Raw genomic sequence first — 20,306 nt, 5'->3', positions numbered from 1 at the left:
GCTAGATTTTATGCCCTGTCTTCCCCTGGGTGAGCCACCAAAAATCAAGAAATCCCTGGACATTCCTACATCTAGAACATGAGGACATCGCAGCAGATGGTTGCTAAGGTAGCTTTCTGCTCTAACATCTGATTTGCCATTTTCATGTAGAATTAGAATAAAAATTATCTCATAGCAATAGAAGAAAAGTACTCACTGATGGATGGAAACAAGAATTTTAAAAATATCCCATGGAATTGAATTATTCTATTGTACATAGAATTTAAAAGCAAATGAAAAGAAGGACAGCCTCAAATCAAATCACGTCAAAAGGATAAAACTCTTATAAGGCAGCTTATTCTACAGAATGGCTTGTGGCCATTTTTCTTTGATAAGAAAATAAGTGGAGAAACAGTGTCATCTTTATTTTTTATTTATTTATTTTTACTTACATTTATGTTTATTTAGGACTAAAGAGGGTTATGGAGATTATGGGGGAGCTGAAAACCTCATGGTGTTGGCTTCTGTTTTTTTTCTAATTTCAGTTTATATTTTAGATACAGGGGGTACACATGCAGGTTTGTTACATGTGAATATTGCACCATGCTGAGGTTTGGAGTACAGCCCCCATCACCAAGGTAGTGAACATAGTGCCTGATAGGTAGTTTTTCAACCCATGCCCCCCTCCCAGTAGTCCCTAGTGTCTATCGCTCCCATTTTATGTCCATATGTTCTCAATGTTTAGCTCCTAATGTAAGTGAGAACATGTGGTATTTGGCTTTCTATTCCTTCGTGAATTCACTTAGTACTATGGTCTCCAACTGCATCCACGTTGCTGAAAAGGACATGATTTCATTCTTTTTGTATGGCTTTGTAGCATTTCATGGTGTATATGTGCCACATTTTCTTAATCCAATCTACCGGTGATGGGCACCTGGGTTGATTCCAATGTCTTTGTTATTGTGGATAGTGCAGTGATAAACATACAAGGGTATGTGTCTTCTTGGTAGAATGATTTATTTTCCTTTGGTTACATACCCAGTATCAAAGTATCATTTTTATTAATAAGAATACAATTTAAAAAATAACAAGTCACTGGAAAGTAAATTTGTTGAAAGTTATTCTCATCCAACTTTTACGTAGCAAACGCATGGATCAAGTGTCTGGGTTGCTGTCTGTATTATCCATATTCACTATTCTTAGAACTGCTTCTGTAAAACTGATGTACTAGCCTCTCCAAGCTTTGCTCCAGGTTACAGCCTGCTTCTTTAGGCAGGAACGGAGTTGTAGAAATGGTTGCTCTCTGAAAGACAAACTTTATGGGAGGAATTCCTTTTTAGTGTCTTTTTTTAACTCCTCTTCAAGAAAAATGATCTGTCTTGGTAACATGTCTTGTCTTTTCCTGATCACTTTTTGCAATGTGCCTTCCCCTAGCAATCTGCTACAGCAATCAGCTTTTTCTGCGAAGGAGCCCTGTCATCTCTCAAGGCAGGGAGAATCATCAATGGCATCTCACTTCAACAAATTAGCCACAGTGTTTACACTGCAAGTCCTGGAGGCTGAGCTTTCTTGCATTTCAAGAAATTCCCAGGATTCTAATGTTTTTTCCAAGTGAGAATGTTTTGATCCAATGCATTTTACTTCTCTGGCTTAACATACATTATTCTATGGGCACCTACTGAATGCTTTAAGCCAAACTCTTAGAAATATTAATGCACATACACACATACACTGTTGATGCAAATAAAAAAGGCAGTGTGCTGCAGGAGAGAGAAACTGATTTGAAAGTTAGGAAACTTAGAGATTTACATTCTAGTTCTAGTTCAGGTAAGCCAATCATTAACTGTGTGACTTTAGGCATATCACTTCCCCTAAGATTCTCTTTCCTCCATTGTAAAATGAAAAACAAAGGGCTTGGGTTAGATTAATCCTAATAACTACTCCAGCGCTAGCATTCTATAACTTTAGGCTTCTAATTGGTAGCTAGATAGGGATAAATTGTTAAGGCAAGGCGGTGGAAGCCATTGTGCATAAGTCCTGTGATCAGCTTTTACCCCAAGCAGAAGCTGTAACTTGTCAGGGGCTTATTAAAAGAAGGGCAGCCCTGAAAGACTCACAAAACCCTTGCCTCAATTCTCACACAATATTATTAATATGGCTACAAAATAGTGGTATCACAAGGCGGCTTCAACTGCTGCCACTACTATATTTTATTAGTTGTATTGGTCCTCATGCAGAGCCCAAGGGTCTGAGCATTTGAAGAGCTCATATTATAGGGCTGAGGCTAAGGGAAGAATAATAATAATTAAAAAAAAAAACATAGTCAGGGGTGACCTAAGTAACTTCCTGAAGTTCCTTTCAGGCCCATGAGTTAATGTATAGGAAGAACAAGCTTATTAATCAAAAAACACTGATCTGCTCAATGTCTAATTATACCTGTCACTGTTGTTGCCCACACTTCAGGCCTGATATGTTTCTTCACTGAAGTCACGTGGCTGTATTTTCAGACCAGTTTCTAGTTGCTCTGTGTATTTTCTGTGTGACACATCTCTTCCATGTGACAGTTGAAAATTGTCCAGAGAAACACCAAAACCCCGCTATAGAACAACCCTGCAACCCAGAGACCATACAACCCCTTTCTCTTCTCCTCCCCCGCCCAGAGCCTCCTGTTAAATTTCCAGCCATCTCTCAAGGCCAAGCTCAAACCCTTCCTCCTCCGAGAAGCCTTTCTTGATCCTCTCCCCATCAGTCTTAATCCCTCCATTTCTTATACTCCCCAAGCACTTTGTACCTCTATTATTTTAGCACTTACTTACCAAAGTCTGTCTTACATTAAAGTTATTTTGTGCATATGTTTTTGCCATGACATTTCAAGCTTTTAGAGGGAAGAAACAAGTCTTATTTTTCCTTTCTATTGCCTGCAACATTCAGGAAAAGGGTTTGCTCATAGTAGACACTTAAAATTGTTCCATGAAGCGTGAAAGTAGAAAATGAGTGAAGCGAGAACCATGTCTTATTCATTCTTTCATTTTCACATTTTATTACAAAATGCTTTTTATGTAGTAAAATTCTTAAAATTGTTGGATCACTTATAAATGCATTAAATAATGTAAAAATACTAAAGTAGAAAACTAATTAGCCTTGTAATTTGCTCATATTGCCATTAAAATAAATTTAGTTTATTTAATCAATGTCAAGAATGAAATTTGCCAGTAATATTCCTTTAGAAGTAAATGCTCCTTTCATTCACCCAATGAATTTATTTATAACGAGTCTCTGCACACTTTAATTTGGAAGGAATGCATATATTTAATGAAACACTCAGAGTATTTAATTAATCATTTACAACAAGTCATAAAAGACATGAAAAACCATCTTTCCATTTATATGACTATTTCCTAGTATAACAAACTTTTCCAGTACTACTCAAAGCAAAGCTACAGTAATTTCTGTTACAGTATTTTACATTTTTCAATTTCACGATCTCCTTATTCTTTTTCTCCTTTCTTTTTTCTCCCTGCTCGATCAATTAAACCAAATTATAGGTTGCTAAAGTGATCTTGGTCTATCTCTGCCCCTTCCTTCACTAAAACTAATGTCAGAGGATCCTTCACATATACTTCTTAAAATTCTCAAAAATGTTCTTTTTTAGTTTGAGCTTTACATACTTGTAGAAAATTGCAATGTCTTGCCAGTTTTCACACTTCTTTTCTATTCTGGGTTCTGTGCAGTACCCTAAAATTCAAACCTCTTTGGATGACCTATGTCCTTTGGACAAGGTTAAGCAAGAAATGTTCTCATTCTCTCTCTTTTTGTTTGTTTGTTTGCTTGTTTGTTTGTTTTGAGACAGAGTCTCACTCTGTCACCCAGGCTGGAGTGCTGTGGTGTGATCTCTGCTAACTGCAACCTCCACACCCCGGGTTCAAGTGATTCTCGTGCCTCACCCTCCCTAGTAGCTGGAATTATAGGCATACACCACCATGCCTGGCTAATTTTTGTATTTTTAGTAGAGACAGAATTTTGGCATGTTGACCAGACTGGTCTTGAATTCCCAATCCAAGTGATCTGCCTGCCTCAGCCTCCCAAAGTGTTGGGATTACAGGTGTGAGCCACCACAGCTAGCTGAAAATGGCCTCATTCTCTAGGACAATTATGCATTGTCTTTCCTTACAGCAGGGCTATTATAAAATGCTGAAGTTAGTTTGATATTACCTAGTGCTTAATCTAATACTAATATAGAAGAGTTTCATTGGAGGAGGGATCCATTTTGTTTTAGACAAAAGACAAACATACTACATATACTACAAATTTCTGAGAATGACCATTCATTCAGAAAATAGTTGCTTGCCATTTATAGAGCAACTATTTTAAGGTAGGTGCTACTCTAAAAGGGCTTACAGTCTTGGGGAGAGATACGATCATCAAATTTTACAATACAATACTGTTAATGCTATCATAGAAGTGCATGCTAGAAATAGGGAAACAGGGATGAAAGTTAAAATAATCTATGGAATGTGAGCACATCTCACTCAGTCGCTGAGGGTGAAGTGCAGTGGTGTGAACATGGCTCACTGCTGTCTTAACCTCTTTGACTCAAGCGATCCTTTTGCCTCAGCCTCCTGAGTAGTTGGGACCACAGGTGCGTGCCACCACGCCTGGCTAATTTTTTTTTTTTTTAATAGAGACAGGGTCTCATTCACTATGTTGCCCAGGTTTGTATGAAGTTTTACAGAAAATTAATACAAACAGAAATCAGACCTTTAAGAGTTGAGAGTAAGTAGGAGAGTTAGGACTTGTACTTACTTAGCTATTATATAGTATAGAACCCATTGAGTACCAGAAGAAACATACAGTCATATTGTAGGGAGGATGCTTTCACATGGAGACAGGAGGGCAGCTTTCAAGGAAGAAGTGGAATTTGAGTTTAACCATGAAAGCTGAGTAAAGTAGAGAAGCATTAAGATGGGAGGGAAAGAGAGAAAAGAGGGAGTAGTAGTCTTGATGACAGCAAGATAACACACATGACCTTGTCCTGCTCTTCATTTTCCCAAGCAGGCACCAGATACTATAATGTTGCTTTTTGCTTTTAACAATGGTCTGTGCTACCAAATGTGCATGACCTAACCAGCCGTTGATTTCTCCTCTTTGACCTCCTCATCTGCTACCAATTGTGAGAAAACTTGCATTGGAGATAGAGCTTTTTTGTAGTCCTATTTAATAGCCAGGGAATAGAGAATGGCACCACCTGAGTGACTTGCTCATATTTTTCTATAAACTTATATCTCATGTTGTTTATCATAATTAAACAGCAAATGCACCAGGAAGGATCACTGTTTTACAAAAGAATCTCTATATTCTTGGCTCTTGCTCCTTCAAAAAAAGAAAGAGAAAGAAAAGAGAAGAGAAGAGAAGGAAGGAAGGAGAAAAGGGAAGGAAGGAAGGAAAAAGAAAAGAAAAGAAAGGAAAAGAAAAGGAAAGAAAGAAAGAGAGAGAGAGGAGGGAGGGATGGAAAGAAAGAGAGAGAAAGAAAAGGAAGGAAGGAAGGAAGGAAGGCAGGCAGGCAAGCAAGAAAGAAAGAAAGAAAAAAGGGAGGGAGGGAGGAAGGGAGAGGAAAGGAAAGAAAGGCGGCCTGGGTGTGGTGGCTCATGCCTGTAATCTCAGCACTTTGGGAGGGTGAGGTGGGTGGCCTTCTGAACTTTCAGAAGTTCACTTCCTCAGTCATACAAGCCACATTTCAAGTGCTCAACAGCTACACGTATCCAGTGGTTACCCTATTGGGCAGCGCAAATATGGAACACTTCTGACATCAGGGAAAGTTCTACTGAACAGTGTTGCTCTAGAGTCACTGTGCCCAGTTAGCGACCTTGGGCAAATTACTGTGTGCCTCAGTTTCCTCATCTGCAAATAGGGATAATAAAATGACTTATTTCACAGGATTCTATGAGGATTGAATGTGTTAATATTTGTAAAGAGCTTAGAACAGTGCACAGCACATGGTAAGCCCTATAAAGCATATGTTAAACAAATAAAAACACATTTTACGTATCTGAAATATGGCAGTCAAGTCCAAACAACATCCAACATGAATAAAAGGAGGTGGGGTGGGGAAGCAATTCCTATTGTTTCCCACCAGCTGAGGTTCTCTTCCCACCTCTTCCCTCAACCTCTACTCATGTTTGTTTTGTTCAGCTGGAAAGACCACCAAGCAGGAGCTCTTCTCTATTGCACAGTGAGTGCTTGATAAATATTTATACTAGAAATAATAATGATGTATATGGAAAAGAATCGTTCCATCATCTTGGAATTGTAGCCACTGCCAAGAAGTAGATGACTTCAAGCAACTCGGCTGTGCTCCATGGCAGATTAGGAGAGGAAGTGAAAAACTCAACTTGTTTGGGGATTTATGATGAGAAATAGTTCTAGTAACCAAAGTCTCTTGGATCCAACCCAGGCTGGTAATCCCACTTGGATACATATTTGGGTGTTTTATCATAAATACAAAAGAAAAAAAGTCTCTTTGCCTGAGATACTCTAAGTGTGTGTTGTTGAATGGAATTCTTCCTCACCTCCCACCCCATGGGAATGATGGACAGATTGTGAATAGAGAAACTGATGTCATTGGGGTAGATGTCCAAACTACAGACATAAACTTCTTCCTGCCTAGGCACTTTCTGTATCTGTGCAGACTATAAAATGCACCAATAACAGGCATATCCCTCTTTATCAAATAACAACTTGCTTTCTCTCATGCCATTTCCTATGCCAAGTTTGCCTTTTTTTCCACCACTTCCTACCATTCAAATTCTCTCCATCCTTCTAGGTCTTTGTAAAATATCCTTCCCTCTAGGAGGGCTTCTCTGATCAATCCCAACTGGGCATACGCACATCCTCTTTTGAAATCCTTGTGCCATTAACAAATTGCCACCATATATAATAGCCGCGTGCTTGCATGTTTATTTCTCCTATTGATCTAATGTGTTTTTCATCCTCTGCCTCTAGCACTGTATTTTTAACTTAGCAACAGTTGCTCAAAGTCTCAGATGGCTAGCTGCCTACTCCAACATCCCTTTCTTTCTTTTTATTTAGAAACAGAGCCCTGATTTTTAGCTGGACCTCTCTGCAGATTTTTTAAATTTTGTGTACATTCAACAGGTAAAAAATTGTGAGACTCCTTCACAGGTAGATGTGCCAATTTGTCTAAGTTCTTGACCAATAAGATAAAAGCAGAACTATAATATGAAACTTCCTGTAAGTCTGCATTTAAGGGAGGAGGCATGCCAGTATTTCCTCCTTCCTCGCTCTCTGCTGTTTAGAATGCAGATGTAATGGCTGGAGTTCTGGCAATTATATCAGACCAAGAGATGGGAGTAAGATGCTGAGATGGGAGTCTCAGCAAAGCCAGAAGCCTTGGTCCCCAAAGTCTCTGTGGAGTCACCATTCCAACTCCGGACTGCCTACTTCTAGGCTTATTTTGCATACATGAGAAACATATTCTTCTATCTTGTCTAAACCACACTTGTTGTTGTTTTCTGTGTTGTGTACAACTGAACTTAATCCTAAAGCATGCATTCAACAATTATTTTTATTAATTTATATAATTATATGATTATATTCACTTTCTGCTTCATAATAACTTTTATCTAGATTTTAAAATCGATTTAGTTTTAATTAATAAGTTTCATTTTTTACAAGTTTTAGGCTCACAATAAAATTGAGCAGAAAGTACAGTTTCCACATAACCATCCCCCAACACACACCCAGCCCCTTCCACCACCAACATGTCACAGTATGTTTTGTTACAACTGATGAAGTAATATTGATGCCTCATGTTCAACCAAAGTCCACAGTTTACATTACAGTTCGCTCTTTGTGACCAAAGCCCACAGTTTACATATGGTTCACTGTTTGTGTTGTACAGTCTGTGGGCTTTGACAGATCTATCATGCCATGTAGCTACCCTTTCAGTGTCATTCAATATAGTTCCATTGGCTTAAAAATCCCGTGTTCCATCTATTAATTCCTCCTTCCATCTTCCCAAAACCCTGGCAAACACTGATCCTTTACTGTCTGCATAATTTTACCTCCCCAGAATGTCTTATAGTTGGAATCATACAGTCTGTAGCCTTTTCAGATTGGCTTCTTGCACTTAGTAATATGCCTTTATGCTTCCTCCGTTTCTTTTTTGTGGCTTAATAGCTCTTTTTCTTTTTTAAGTGCTCAATACTATTCCACTGTATGAATATACTACAGTTTATTTATCCATTCACCTATTGACGGACACCTTGGTGGCTTCTAAGTTTTGGCAATTATGAATAAAGCTGCTATAAACTTTTGTGCAGAGGTTTCTGGGTGGACCTAAGTTTTCAACTCATTTGGGAGAATATCAAGGAGCATGATTGCAGAATGATATGATAAAAGTGTGTTTAGATTTGTAAAAAACTGCCAAACTGTTTTCCACAGTGGTCGAACCATTTTACATTTTCACCAGCAATGAAGGAGGGTTCCTGTTGCTCTACCATTTGGTACTGTCAGCGTTTTGGATATTAGCCGTCCTAATAGGTATGTAGCCGTTATCTCCTTGTTGTTTTAATTTGCAATTCCCTAATGATGAATAATGCAGAGCATCTTTTTATAATCAATTCAAATAATCATTCCTTCTTACAATGTTGTGAGGGAAGGTTGACATTCTTACCACTTCTACCTGGAAGTAGAGGACTAAGAGACTCAGAAAGCTTCCTGATTTGTTTACAATCTTTATAGGTAGGGAATGATAAATCACAGTTAGACTTCTCAGCTAATGGAGGCTTCATTGTTGAACCACCAAGGGTTGCTCCCTCTGTTTGATGGGGACGAGAAACTTCCCCAACATTCTGAGTGGTGACTATGTTTGGCCACGCCTGTGTCATACAGAAAAAAAGCGGCATTTGGTAAATCACCACCTGAAATGAAAGAGCAGTCACCAAGCAGTACACACCGGCTGCCAGAAGCACGTCAGTCTGGGCGGAACCACTCTGGCTCCTTTTCAGGCAAACCTCCTTTCCTCGATCTGAGAAACAAAAGCAAAAAAGCCTCCAGATGAAAACCAAAAACCAAAACACACAACACCGCGTCACACCAAGTCCCTCCCACAAGAAACACCATTTAGAGCAGACCCTCACAGCATTGCAAACAGCATTTTTCTGGCAATTTTTTTCCTCTTACACATTTCAGCTATGAATGCTAAATTCTTGTCCTCCAGAACAATGGAATTTCCTATACATTATTTTCAGTACTAAAATCTGAATTCCTTGGTTACTCATCAGCTCTGATTCTGGGCTTTGAGCTCAGGATGGTCGGGTTGAAGGGCACAGCAAACCACCATGGCACATATACCTGTGTAACAAACTTGCACATTCTGCACATGTATCCCAGAACTTAAAGTATAATACACTTTTTTTTTTTTAAAAATCTAACAGATGTAAAAGAAAAAAGTATCTTCAAATTAGCTAAGTTATAAAATATGACACACATCATAATTCCCTGCTCATGTATAATGAAAATTCTTCAAGAAGGGAAATTAGGATGGAAACGTTTGAAATAAAGAAATTTTAAAAATGAATGTGTTTCCATAGAGCAGGATTTTTCCTAGCCTTTTGAGTTGTACCATTTCCAGTCACTCGATAGTATTGGATTTGTAGTTTAGGATATGCAGACTAGAAGATATGCCAGTCTGGGAAGGCACTTAAGTTATCAGAGGATGTGAAATTTAGGCAGTGATGGTGGGGGAGGGGAGATGGTTAGATTCCTTTGGAGCTTAACAAAATTTCTGCTTATTCAATAAAGTCGTATTTTTCGATAAAGTCCTAACATTCCAAACATACATTTTTGGCACTGCTCTCAGATTATCAGCCAGCTTTCTTTTTATTGCTTTACCATATTGAAGAATTAAGTAACATCAGAATTGGAAAATGAAAAGGTAAAGAGGTTTTCTGAAGCCAAAATAAGACACAAAGAAAAGGGTAAGATTGTGGGAAATGAGAAAAAGAGGGAAGGAAACCTTGTGTGGAATTTGGAGCAAAATCCTCCTTTTCTTTCTCATGTTGAATTGCAACCTCCAGGATTGCTGCCTCCTTAGTAATGATGAGCATGTTCATGGCCTTAGGCTCTGCCAGTATTAGCCAATGAATTCTCAGACAACCATCAAGGAAGCCCTGGTTCGCTATTTTTTCCAAGAGAAATATGCCAGTGTACATCAGGGAATATCAGTGATTCGATATGACCAGAAGTCACAGGCCGTGTGTTTCTTTGGGGTTCTGTGCTCTATTGGAACACATAGCCACATTTTCACTGGGTGTATTTAATAGTTAGAAGGCTTTGGGCTGTAACAGAATATCCATCTAAAAGTGGCTTCAAGAAATCAACAGGCTCATGGTCTCAGGGTTGTTGTAGTGGCTCAGGGATGTCATTATGAACTCAAGATTTTTCTCCCCTTCCATCTTGTCAATGATACCATGGTGCCTTTGATCCTCAAGTTTGTCATCTCATGGTCACAAAATAATTGCCACAGTATGAAATGCCACATTCTTTCCCCACTATGTCAAGGAGAGAGAAGGGATAGCCAGAAAAACAAACAAGCAAGCAAGCAAACAAACAAACAAACAGAAAACACAACTCTCCTCCCATATTTCTCTCCTTTTATCCAAAAAGGAAAATATTTCCTAGCATCCTCCAAGCCAGAAGTGGCCACAACTGAGTCACATAGTCAATTCTAGGTGCAAGATAAGGCTGCAAAACTAGATGCCTGTTTGGAATTTTAAGTTTTATAGGCCGGGTGCAGTGGTACATGCCTGTAATTCCGGCACTTTGGGAGGCTGAGGCGGGAGAATCACTTGAGGTCTGGAGTTTGAGACCAGCCTGGCCAACATGGCAAAACCCATGTCTCCTAAAAATACAAAAATTATCTGGTCATGGGTGACACGCACCTGTAATCCTAGCTACTTGAGAGACTGAGGTGGGAGAATCACTTGAACCCGGGAGGCTGTGGTTGCAGTGAGCCGAGATTGTGCCACAGCACTTCAGCCTGGGCAACAGAGCAAGAGTTCATCTCAAAAAAAAAAAAAAAAAAGTTTTATAATGAGAAGTGGTCTATGCTAGGGAGGAAGGGATAAGAGAATGGAGTAGTCAATTTTGTATAGACAACCATTGCCACAAGTTCAGAAACATTGCTAAGAACCAACAGGAAAAATCCTTCCTGAAGCAAATGATATTTAGGGTTCATATTGGAAATCAGGGCTGTTCCCCAACCAAAGAATTCATAGTTGAAGAAAGGGTCAACTCAAATCCTATAATGAAAAAAGTCCACAATCTCTGATCTGATTGCTTTTGTAATCTTAATGCAGGAAATCATAGCACTGCTTATACAATGAAAGACTAACTTTTTGTACCATGGGGCTGATATTGCTATTCCTCTTGTTGCCTGTCTCCCATAGTTCTGTTTCTTAATTCTTCTAGTCCCAGATGGGATTCACTCTATAAAACTTAGCTCCCGTTGATTCCCTGAGGCCCAAATGCTTTTCACTGAACCATTAGAGTTGAATATTTTTACAAAATTTCCCATGGGGAGATGGCGGGTGAGAACCCATCCAGCCCAATAAAATCTGCCATCCCCTCTTCCAGGGCCTTCAATCATCACCAAGCTCAGAATACTGCAGCTCAGAAACACATTTTATTTGTACGTTTAAGGTAAAATGAGTATTTTGAAATTGCCAGTACTTCAAGACTGGATTCATCCTTGCTCAAAAGTCTCAACTAATTAAGAAGATCTTACCTTACTTGGTTCTATTCTTTTTATTTGCTTGAGCAATGTGTTTGTTGAGAATTTTAAATGCTAGGAATGCAAATATTCTTAGTTCTCATAAAATGATCTTCTCTTAATAAAAGAACAGAGGGATCACCCGCAAAACAAAATACTTAGTCTAGGTTCAACTTGAAGAATTGAAAATATTTGTGTTATCTTGGTTTTCAATAGGAGTTGCCCTGTGGGATCAAATCGCTATTTGTCAGGGCTAATATCCCCACCTACTGTTTAGCCAGAATCAGATGTACCAGAGAAAAGGAAAAGGAAAATAAAGAGGGAAAGTCAAGCCTATTGCAACTGGCTCATTCTGTAATATCCCACGCTGGATTGCGAGGTGGGAATTCCTTTTGCCCCTCCTTCCACATGTGATCAATTTACATCCTGGAACATGAGACTTCATTTCCTCGTATCTTTTTTGTTTTAGCTCACATAGCTTTAAATGTTAGTCATGCTCATAAAATTATCTAATCCTTCCTCAAATCCAACTCTACCCTGCCTCAGCAGCTCCCCATGGTAGTAAATGTCACAGGTTGACTATGCTGGTGGGTTGAATAGAAGTGGGTTGATTTGCACCTCTCTTTCTTCTATTTATATTTTCTACCTTCCAGGTGCAATGAATGTGTCCTGCTCTTACTTGGGATAGGTTCAAAAATAAATGCAATTGAAAAAAAATCTCCTGGGGCCAGGCGTGGTGGCTCACGCCTGTAATCCTAGCACTTTGGGAGGCCGAAGTGGGCAGATCATGAAGTCAAGAGATCGAGACTATCCTGGCCAACATGGTGAAACCTCATCTCTCCTAAAAATACAAAAAATTAGCTGAGTATGGTGGCACATGTCTGTAATCCCAGCTACTCGGGAGGCTGAGGCAGGAGAATGGCTTGAACCCGGGAGGCAGAGGTTGCAGTGAGCCAAGATCGTGCCACTGCACTCCAGCCTGGGTGACAGGGCTCAGACTCCGTCTAAACAAACAAAAAAAATCTCCTGGAAGTCCCATTTGATCTTGGTTACATGAGCTTACTAGAGAATTTTGTTGTTCCCAACATTAGCTGAGAAATGTACTCTAAGAAGTGAATAGACTAAAGTGGAACCAGGGTGCAGTGGAGAACGAGAGCTGTTATCTAGAAAACCTTTCTCAGGCATGTTTCAGCACACTCTGCTCCTGACGATGGCTCTATCATCAAAGAATTCTGTGGTCAGGTGTATGGGATATGCTGCATAGGCTCCCTATGAGCCTCCAAATTGTAAGTTAAAGGCTCTGAGAGCTTGGCAGTAAGTAGAAGACTCCTGGTCACATTTGTTTAACCCAGTGTTTCCCAAACTCATTTGGCCTTGGAACTCTATTTCTTGGGACATTTATTAGCTGCTGGTGGAACCAGTGTTCAAAAAATTACTCCCTAGACAATTTAGGCAAAACATCTTTTCTATAAATAATTTAGTCATTAGTCACTCTTATAGTAGTTATGCCTAAAGGCAAAGAGTACAGTATTTGGAGTCAGAAAATTTTGGTTCTAGCTTAGGTCAAAGAATGTAACAACTCTAAGTCCAGTTTCTTAAATTGTGACACAAAGATAGACTCATCAAGGTTTCTTAGAGAATTGAATAAGGTAGGGAAGCAAATGATTTGGGAGAACAGTAAAATATTAGGCAAATTCAAAAATTATATTCCATTGGTTTGACACTTAAAATATGTTATCTTGAATTCTTTTACTATTTGTATAATTTTCTGTTGTTAGTTGGGATAGGGTTACTACAAGAATAAATAGCCTTCAAATCTCAATGCTTTTATGTAATAAGAGTCTTATCTTTCTCACTGACCCTGTTCATTTCAGATGTTTCTGTTCAGATAATTCTCTTGAGTGGTTCCTCTCTAAGCAGAAGCTCAGGGACCCAGGTTCTTTCCATCTTGTGGCTCTACCATACTGTGGCTTCAAGTTCACCCTGGCACTATCCAGCCAGCAGACAGCAGGGGAAGCAAGAATTGATAAAGGAATATGTAAAATGATTTGGGGTCTGGAAGTGGTGCACACCACATCTGCTTCCATTTTGCTTGTCAGAACCAGTCATGTAACCCTTCCTCAATGCAAGAGGCCTTGGTATTCCTATGTTCCAGGAGGAAATGAAATAGCTGCATAAACACAAAGCATTGCCTCGGGCACAGGGCCTAATTCCCAACCAGTCTATAAACCCCTCCATTCCTAACATGCGAACCTTAGCTCCCAGTTAATGTTAATAATGAAACAAGTTAAGCAAGTTTTTCTTCTTGCATTGTTTACAATGACCTCAATCAGTTAACTTTTGGGACAAAGAGCTTCCAAGCCACTATGCACAATTACAGAGAAAATATAGGGAAGATACTCTCGTGGAAATGCAGTCTGATGAGGGAGAGAGAACCCACATAAATATATCTAAACACCAACTACAGTCTCTGCCAAATATTTGAAACCAACTGCAGCTGTGCAGAGGAAACATAAATCTGTAGAGAGTGAAAAAGGAAATAAAGGAAGTGGATAAGCTGGAGGTCTGAATTAATTGGAGCCAGAAGGAGATCATCTGAGAAGGCTAAACTTCATCCATTATTTTTCAACAGCATGTAATTTTCCTAATTACAAAAGGTACAAAATTTAGGATGCACAGAAAAATACAAAACATTTTAAAAATCTTCATAATCCCAGTACCCATCTATACTCCATATACCTTTTCTCTGTTGAGATAATTATAATCTACTTTTTGATGTAGGTTCTTCAAATCTCTTTTCTATGCATATACTTTCCCTCTCAGATTTGATGCTCTGCAGGTTTTATGTTTTTTTTTAATACTCACTAATACAATCTTGATATTTCCCAACATTCAGAACATGACTTATAATTGGTTGCATAGTCAACCATGGTTGGGCATAAATTGTTTCCAACTTTTTACTCTTATAAAAATGGTACATAAACATCTCTTCACAACCATCTTTTTTACATATCTCTGATTATTTTGTGCTCCAAAAGAATTGTAATCATGGGGACTAACATGTGTTGAATTTTATAATGTGTTTACTCTGAACTAAGTTCTTTATATGCAATATCTTATTTAATTCTCAGAACAACTGTTATACCAGTACTATTAATATTGTATTCATATTCTAGGTGAGGAAACAACGATTTAGGGAGGTTACATAGCTTGCCCAACATGACACAGCTAGTAAATGGAATAACTGGGATTTGAACCAGAACTGACTGACTTCAGAATCCAAGTTCCATCCATTGTAGAATACTCCACCCCAGGAGTCCACTTAAATTCTCACTAGCAGATTAACCTCCAGGGAAAGTTGACAGAGTAATGGATATGGCTCAAGATGGGGCATGTATAATCAGGAAGAGTGGTTTATGTGATACTTAGAGAAGAGAGTGGGTAGAGTTTTATGAGGGATATTAACTTTTGCCAGGTTGAAGTTAAAAAATATGAGCTAGTATGTCTAGAGTGATAAAATCATTTCAAATGAGGATCTCCAAGCCAAAGTTCAGGAGTGTTTAAAAATTATTTAAAGAGAATGGGAGTGCCTGTCCAGTTGTATAAAAGGGAGTGATGTCAAAACAATGCTTGAAAAAGATGTACTTTGTTTCATTCTTTGATTTAGGAAACTGGCCTTTGCCTTGTGGAATGAGATAAGATCGAAGTTTCAGAGACCTTTGGGGAGACCTTTTGTCACAATTTTCCTCCAGTCTGACATGTTCTCTGTGGGAATGCAACTCTCTTCACAGTAGCTGTAGAATTTGAAGGGAGCCTGAAAGGCATGACCTTGGAAGCCTCTTCCATTTCTAGTCTCCATGCACAGCCACTTCCCTGAGTGCATTCCAAATCCCAGATGGAGTCAGGGTACGAGCGTTTGCTGACAAGAGATAAGAATGTTGACCAGAGAACGTTAGGGCAGAGTATAGCATGGCGGTTATGAGCACAAGTTCTATCCCCACACTACCTGGGTTCACATGGTAGCCCCAACACTTACTAGCCATGTGACTTCAGACAAATTACTTATCCTTTCTGTGTCTTAGTTTCCTCATCTACACAATGGGATAATAATAATAATACTAATACCTACTTTATAGAGTCATTGTGAAGATTAAATGAGTTACAATGAGTCAAAAATGCTAGCTATTATTATCTCTGCAAGGTAAAGGGTTATTGCCAGATAATTTTTGCAGTTAGTCCTATATTTCAGCTCTTGAAACACTGTAGGTCTTCCATAGATGTGTATGGATTCAAACTGAGAGTCCAATTCTTAAATCAGTTAACTCATGTCCCCAAGTAACAACTTCTGTTTATTACATATCCTAAACATAAGTTCACAGAGTACCTGCTAAAACTTTCCTTTTCTCTTCTGAACTTTCTAGAGGTCATCACTGCCACTTTGTGAACAACACAAAGAAGTCTCAGACCAATATCTCTTCCTATCTCCTTTCTTGTGTGTGCCTCAATTTCCTCATTTCCTCATTGTTCACTGCTAAGTTAATCTCTGCATGCACATACATGCACACAATTTTAACTTCTTTTCTCTTTTCCTTTTATCCCATTTCTTGTCTTCTTTTCCTAATAGTGGTGGAAGTTGAGCAGGGGCCAAGGCTTTTCTCTCTGTTTCCTCCTTTAGTCATAAGTAAGCAGATGAAATTAAGTATCATCTATTTTTAGAGTTTCCAAAGTACGTCAAAGCCTTCTACAGAAATGACATAAAAGTCTCCAACTACTATCTCAAGTATCTATAATCGAAACTGGTTTTCCTGATGTCAGCATCTAAAACAGCCTCTAAATCAATCAGTTACTTTTGAGCCAGTTAACTAATAATAACAAAATTAAAATAATAATTTTTAAGTGCACAATAGGCTGCTACACTATGGGTTAAATAGCACTTAAAGGGTGGCCTGGGAACTAACTCCTATGGGTAGCACTGTTTTTATGGGAAAATACACTCCAAATTCCAGACAACTCATTTATCCACTAACTTTTGGAATATGACCCTTTAGTAAGTTGGAGACTGACTAAAAATACCTAATATTTTGGTGAATTTTTTATCAATGCATTAAAAATACATTCTTATGTTTTATCTTAATAAATTGAAGCAAATTCTAGCCTACTTTTCCATAAGAATTGCTTTCCTGACCTCAGAAGCATAATTGAAAGAGGGCTTGTGGATTTTCTGCAAAGAAAGGGCCTGGCTATTTTAATTAGCTTAACGTATGTAAGATCAATTATTTTGAGACAGTAGACAAACAAAATCATTCATAAGGTTGGCAGGTTTGTGCAAATGATTTCACAAGGGTAAATCATTTTCAGGTTACATAGGACAGATGTGTGCAGTGTATGTGAGAATGTTTGGAAAATATTTTGGATGCTTTTCAAAGGCATACACTACATGTGGAATTAACTGAAATTGGTTTCTTTAATTATTTCTTTCTTACCCACACAATAATGATGGGTTCCTACTTACAGGGTGATGTGACATTTATATGCCTAGAAGTTTCCTTTCCTTTTGACCATTTTTTAAAAGATGCAATATTTTTCCTTCAACATTAGAAGTTGGGTCCCCTGTAAGGCCTTATACAAGAGAATGAGAGTTGAAGAAATACATTTATGGTGGATAGGCTGTTTGAAACTCATTTTAGCTAAAACAGAAAAACTGCAGCTTGTGGAGTGGCAAGGGCCCAGAATTGGCCAGAAGTCATGAATTTTGGCTCTAACTCCTGAATTGAGTGGCTTTGAGCAAGTCACTTACCTCAGAGCCTCATTATTTTTATCTACACAATCAGGGGTTTGGCATCTATGACTTGAAATTCCTTTCCAGCACTATGTTTTGTTTCTGTGGTTGGTAACAATGTAAGAATTTTGGGGGACGCATTCTTCCAAACTCTTGTTTTTCCACTCACATCATTTCAGTAGAGAGCTGACTGCCAATATCACAATAACTTTTTTTTCGATTCATATCAACTTTAAAATGTGTTTTTAAAAATGGCAAGTTAGGTGTCTGTGAATAACAACTGATATTTTCCAGAATTTTTCCTTCCTTCCTTCCTTCCTTCTTTCCCTTCCTCCTTCCCTCCCTTCCTCCCTCCCTCCCTCCCTTCCTTCTTTGAAAGCCTTTTAAGAGGTGAACACAACAGTTTTGGCTTGGGACACAGCTCTGCGGGTCAGGATCTAACAAAGGGAAATCCCCGATGTGCTGGAACCTTACAGCTCCAGGAACCGGCTGTTTATGAAAGCTGAAGTACCGCTAGAGTGAGCAAAGAAGCCACTTGTGATTCCAGCCAATTGTCCCCAGTCCAGACCATTCAGAGGAAAGAGTTCTGCCGGTCTTCTGCATCCAGTTGCCAAAACCCAGGAGGTGCAGCACCTGCTTAGGAAAGCCATAGTGCATGGGGAAATGACCGCTGAGGGGGCCACACTTTCCCTTTTGCATTGGCAAAACTGTTGCTTTCTTACCTTTTAATACTCTTTCTCCGGATTTTGAGAATCCGACTATTTAAAGATTGCTTTCATACATTTAGTTTCTGCCCCACCCCACTACAGCCCCCTTAGGTTTCTTAACTTTTAAGACTTATGATAAATGAGGGTGGGACTGGGTGGGGAATGGGGTAGATGGGAGGGCTGGGAGGACTGGGAGAGTTGGAGTGGGGGATGGAAGATAAGGGTAGGGTGGAGCAGGAAGGGAAGGGTGGAGACGAAGGAATGAAAAAATGAATAACCCAGTGAAGCAAATGAATGGAGCAGCAGCCAAATAAGCAAACAAAACAAACATTTATTGACCGTCTGTCACTTGCTAGGTGTTGTGATAGACAGCAGGCAAATAGCTATGAGCCATGCAGCCAGGTCCTTGCCTTGTGAAATTTACAGTCCAAAGTGGGCGGATATCAAACAAATAATTAAGCAAATACTTTAATACTTACAACTGTGACACAATTGCCATGAAGAAATATAAGGGGCCCTCGCCCTAGTCCAGGAGGTGAGGAGGACGATGTTCAAGCTGGATTATTTCCATGCCATTTTCCAAATTGAAATCTCAAAGTAAATTATATTGCAATATGATGTATGTTTTTTCCAAGTGAAACCCAAGCACACATCCTGCTCTGCCCCACCCTCCGCCCCCACACGGGAAGCTCTCGGGATCAGCCTGGGTGTTCTGTGGTTCTGACGCCATCCTGAGAGCTCCACTGCCACACTCCTTCCCCTGCCTCCTAAATTCGATGTGGAGCGCCACCTAGAGTTTGGCTGACACATTCCCATAACCATAGGGTACAAGGATACTTTGAAATCTAGGATATTTGCTAAGTTTTGAAAATTGAATAAATAAATAATCCATTGGAAAAAATGAATAGCGAGTGAATGAGCAAAGCAGCAGGCAAATATACAAACAGGACAAACACTTTCATTCACTGTCATTGTCATCCAGCGTGAATTCAAAAGACTCCAAGTTTTCTAAAAAGAATGGCTTTCTCTAGGAGCTTTCCAAGATTTGTTTTGCAAAGCTGCCAAGGAGAATACTAGACAATGAATCGGAAGTAGCAAGTCTCACGGTGATATCCAAAGTGTTTTTCATCCAAACCTCAGAGCAAGAAGGTTCCAGGAAGATGCCTAAGTCAAATTAAGATGTTAAGTCAAATTTACCTCGTTCTAATAACTACCCAATAATTTATTGAACAGTCTATATTACTGAAATACCTATGGCATTAAGATAGAACCAACTGTTGTGATTTATGGAGTAGGCTAACATTGCAGCTGTTAAGGAAATGAAAAAATGTATGGGATCTGTCATTTTTAAATCACCTTTAAACAAGATATCCAGCTCTGTAACCACATTCCAATTAGTCTTACAAGAAAAGCCAAGCACAGTTACATTTCAAAAATGTTATCGCATATATAAAGAAGGAACTTATCTTTCTCTCTTACATTAGCCCTACTTTTCTCTACCAAAAACTTGCCCCAGAGAAAAACATATTCAGGTAAAGAAAAGTCATATCCATCCCCTCCATTCATTAATTTCATTTAACCAACATTTGTCGATCACCTCCGGTGGTACTACAGAGATGTTGGGATATCCTGCTTCATGATCTAGTTGGAGTAGATAGCAGATGCCAAGAAAGTGGACATGACAAAACTATGCTATTTCTAAATGCTATCTAGAAATAAGGAGAAGCACAAGGTGTCAAGGGCACTGCTGAGAGGCTCCTGACCAATTTGGAGCAGTCGGACAAGGCGTCTCCTGGATTACAGTGCTGTGTCTTCAAGTATCAACTTCCCGGAAGGCTAAGTTAAACAAAAGAAACTTACAAACCCAGAATGGTGAAGATATCACTTCTACTGAAAACTTTTCCATCTGAGATACAGTGATCTGGGCCAAAAGAACATAATGAAAATGAATAATTCTGAAATATAAGATCCAGGAGTATTGAAACGATTTTGATCTTGTCTGTCCTGTAGTGCTATCACTCTCCATATTGTCCAGCATATAATAGGTATT

At 39.0% G+C, this 20,306-nt stretch overlaps 2 long non-coding RNA genes across 5 annotated transcripts in view; one reads left to right on the top strand and one right to left on the bottom strand.

The window, feature by feature from the left end:
* Positions 1-20,306, top strand: part of MSRB3-AS1 (MSRB3 antisense RNA 1) — a 175,556-nt gene that overhangs the window by 20,656 nt on the left and 134,594 nt on the right. For 3 of the 4 annotated variants that reach the window (NR_120433.1, NR_120432.1, NR_120434.1), the window contains one exon: positions 8,440-8,538. The exons of the other annotated variant lie outside the window; for it this stretch is intronic. This is a non-coding gene — a long non-coding RNA (MSRB3 antisense RNA 1). The remainder of the gene's footprint in view (positions 1-8,439; positions 8,539-20,306) is intronic. 4 annotated transcript variants of the gene reach the window in all.
* On the bottom strand, positions 8,730-18,848 carry LINC02454 (long intergenic non-protein coding RNA 2454). Its single transcript, NR_146529.1, has 3 exons — positions 18,736-18,848; positions 15,488-15,689; positions 8,730-9,025 (listed from the first exon to the last, which is right to left on the bottom strand). It is a non-coding gene; the product is annotated as a long intergenic non-protein coding RNA 2454 (long non-coding RNA).

The sequence above is a fragment of the Homo sapiens genome, chromosome 12 (assembly GCF_000001405.40).
Source record: "Homo sapiens chromosome 12, GRCh38.p14 Primary Assembly".
NCBI lineage: Eukaryota > Metazoa > Chordata > Mammalia > Primates > Hominidae > Homo > Homo sapiens.
Note: the sequence above shows the minus strand (reverse complement) of the source record. Positions and strands in the feature narration are given on the sequence as shown.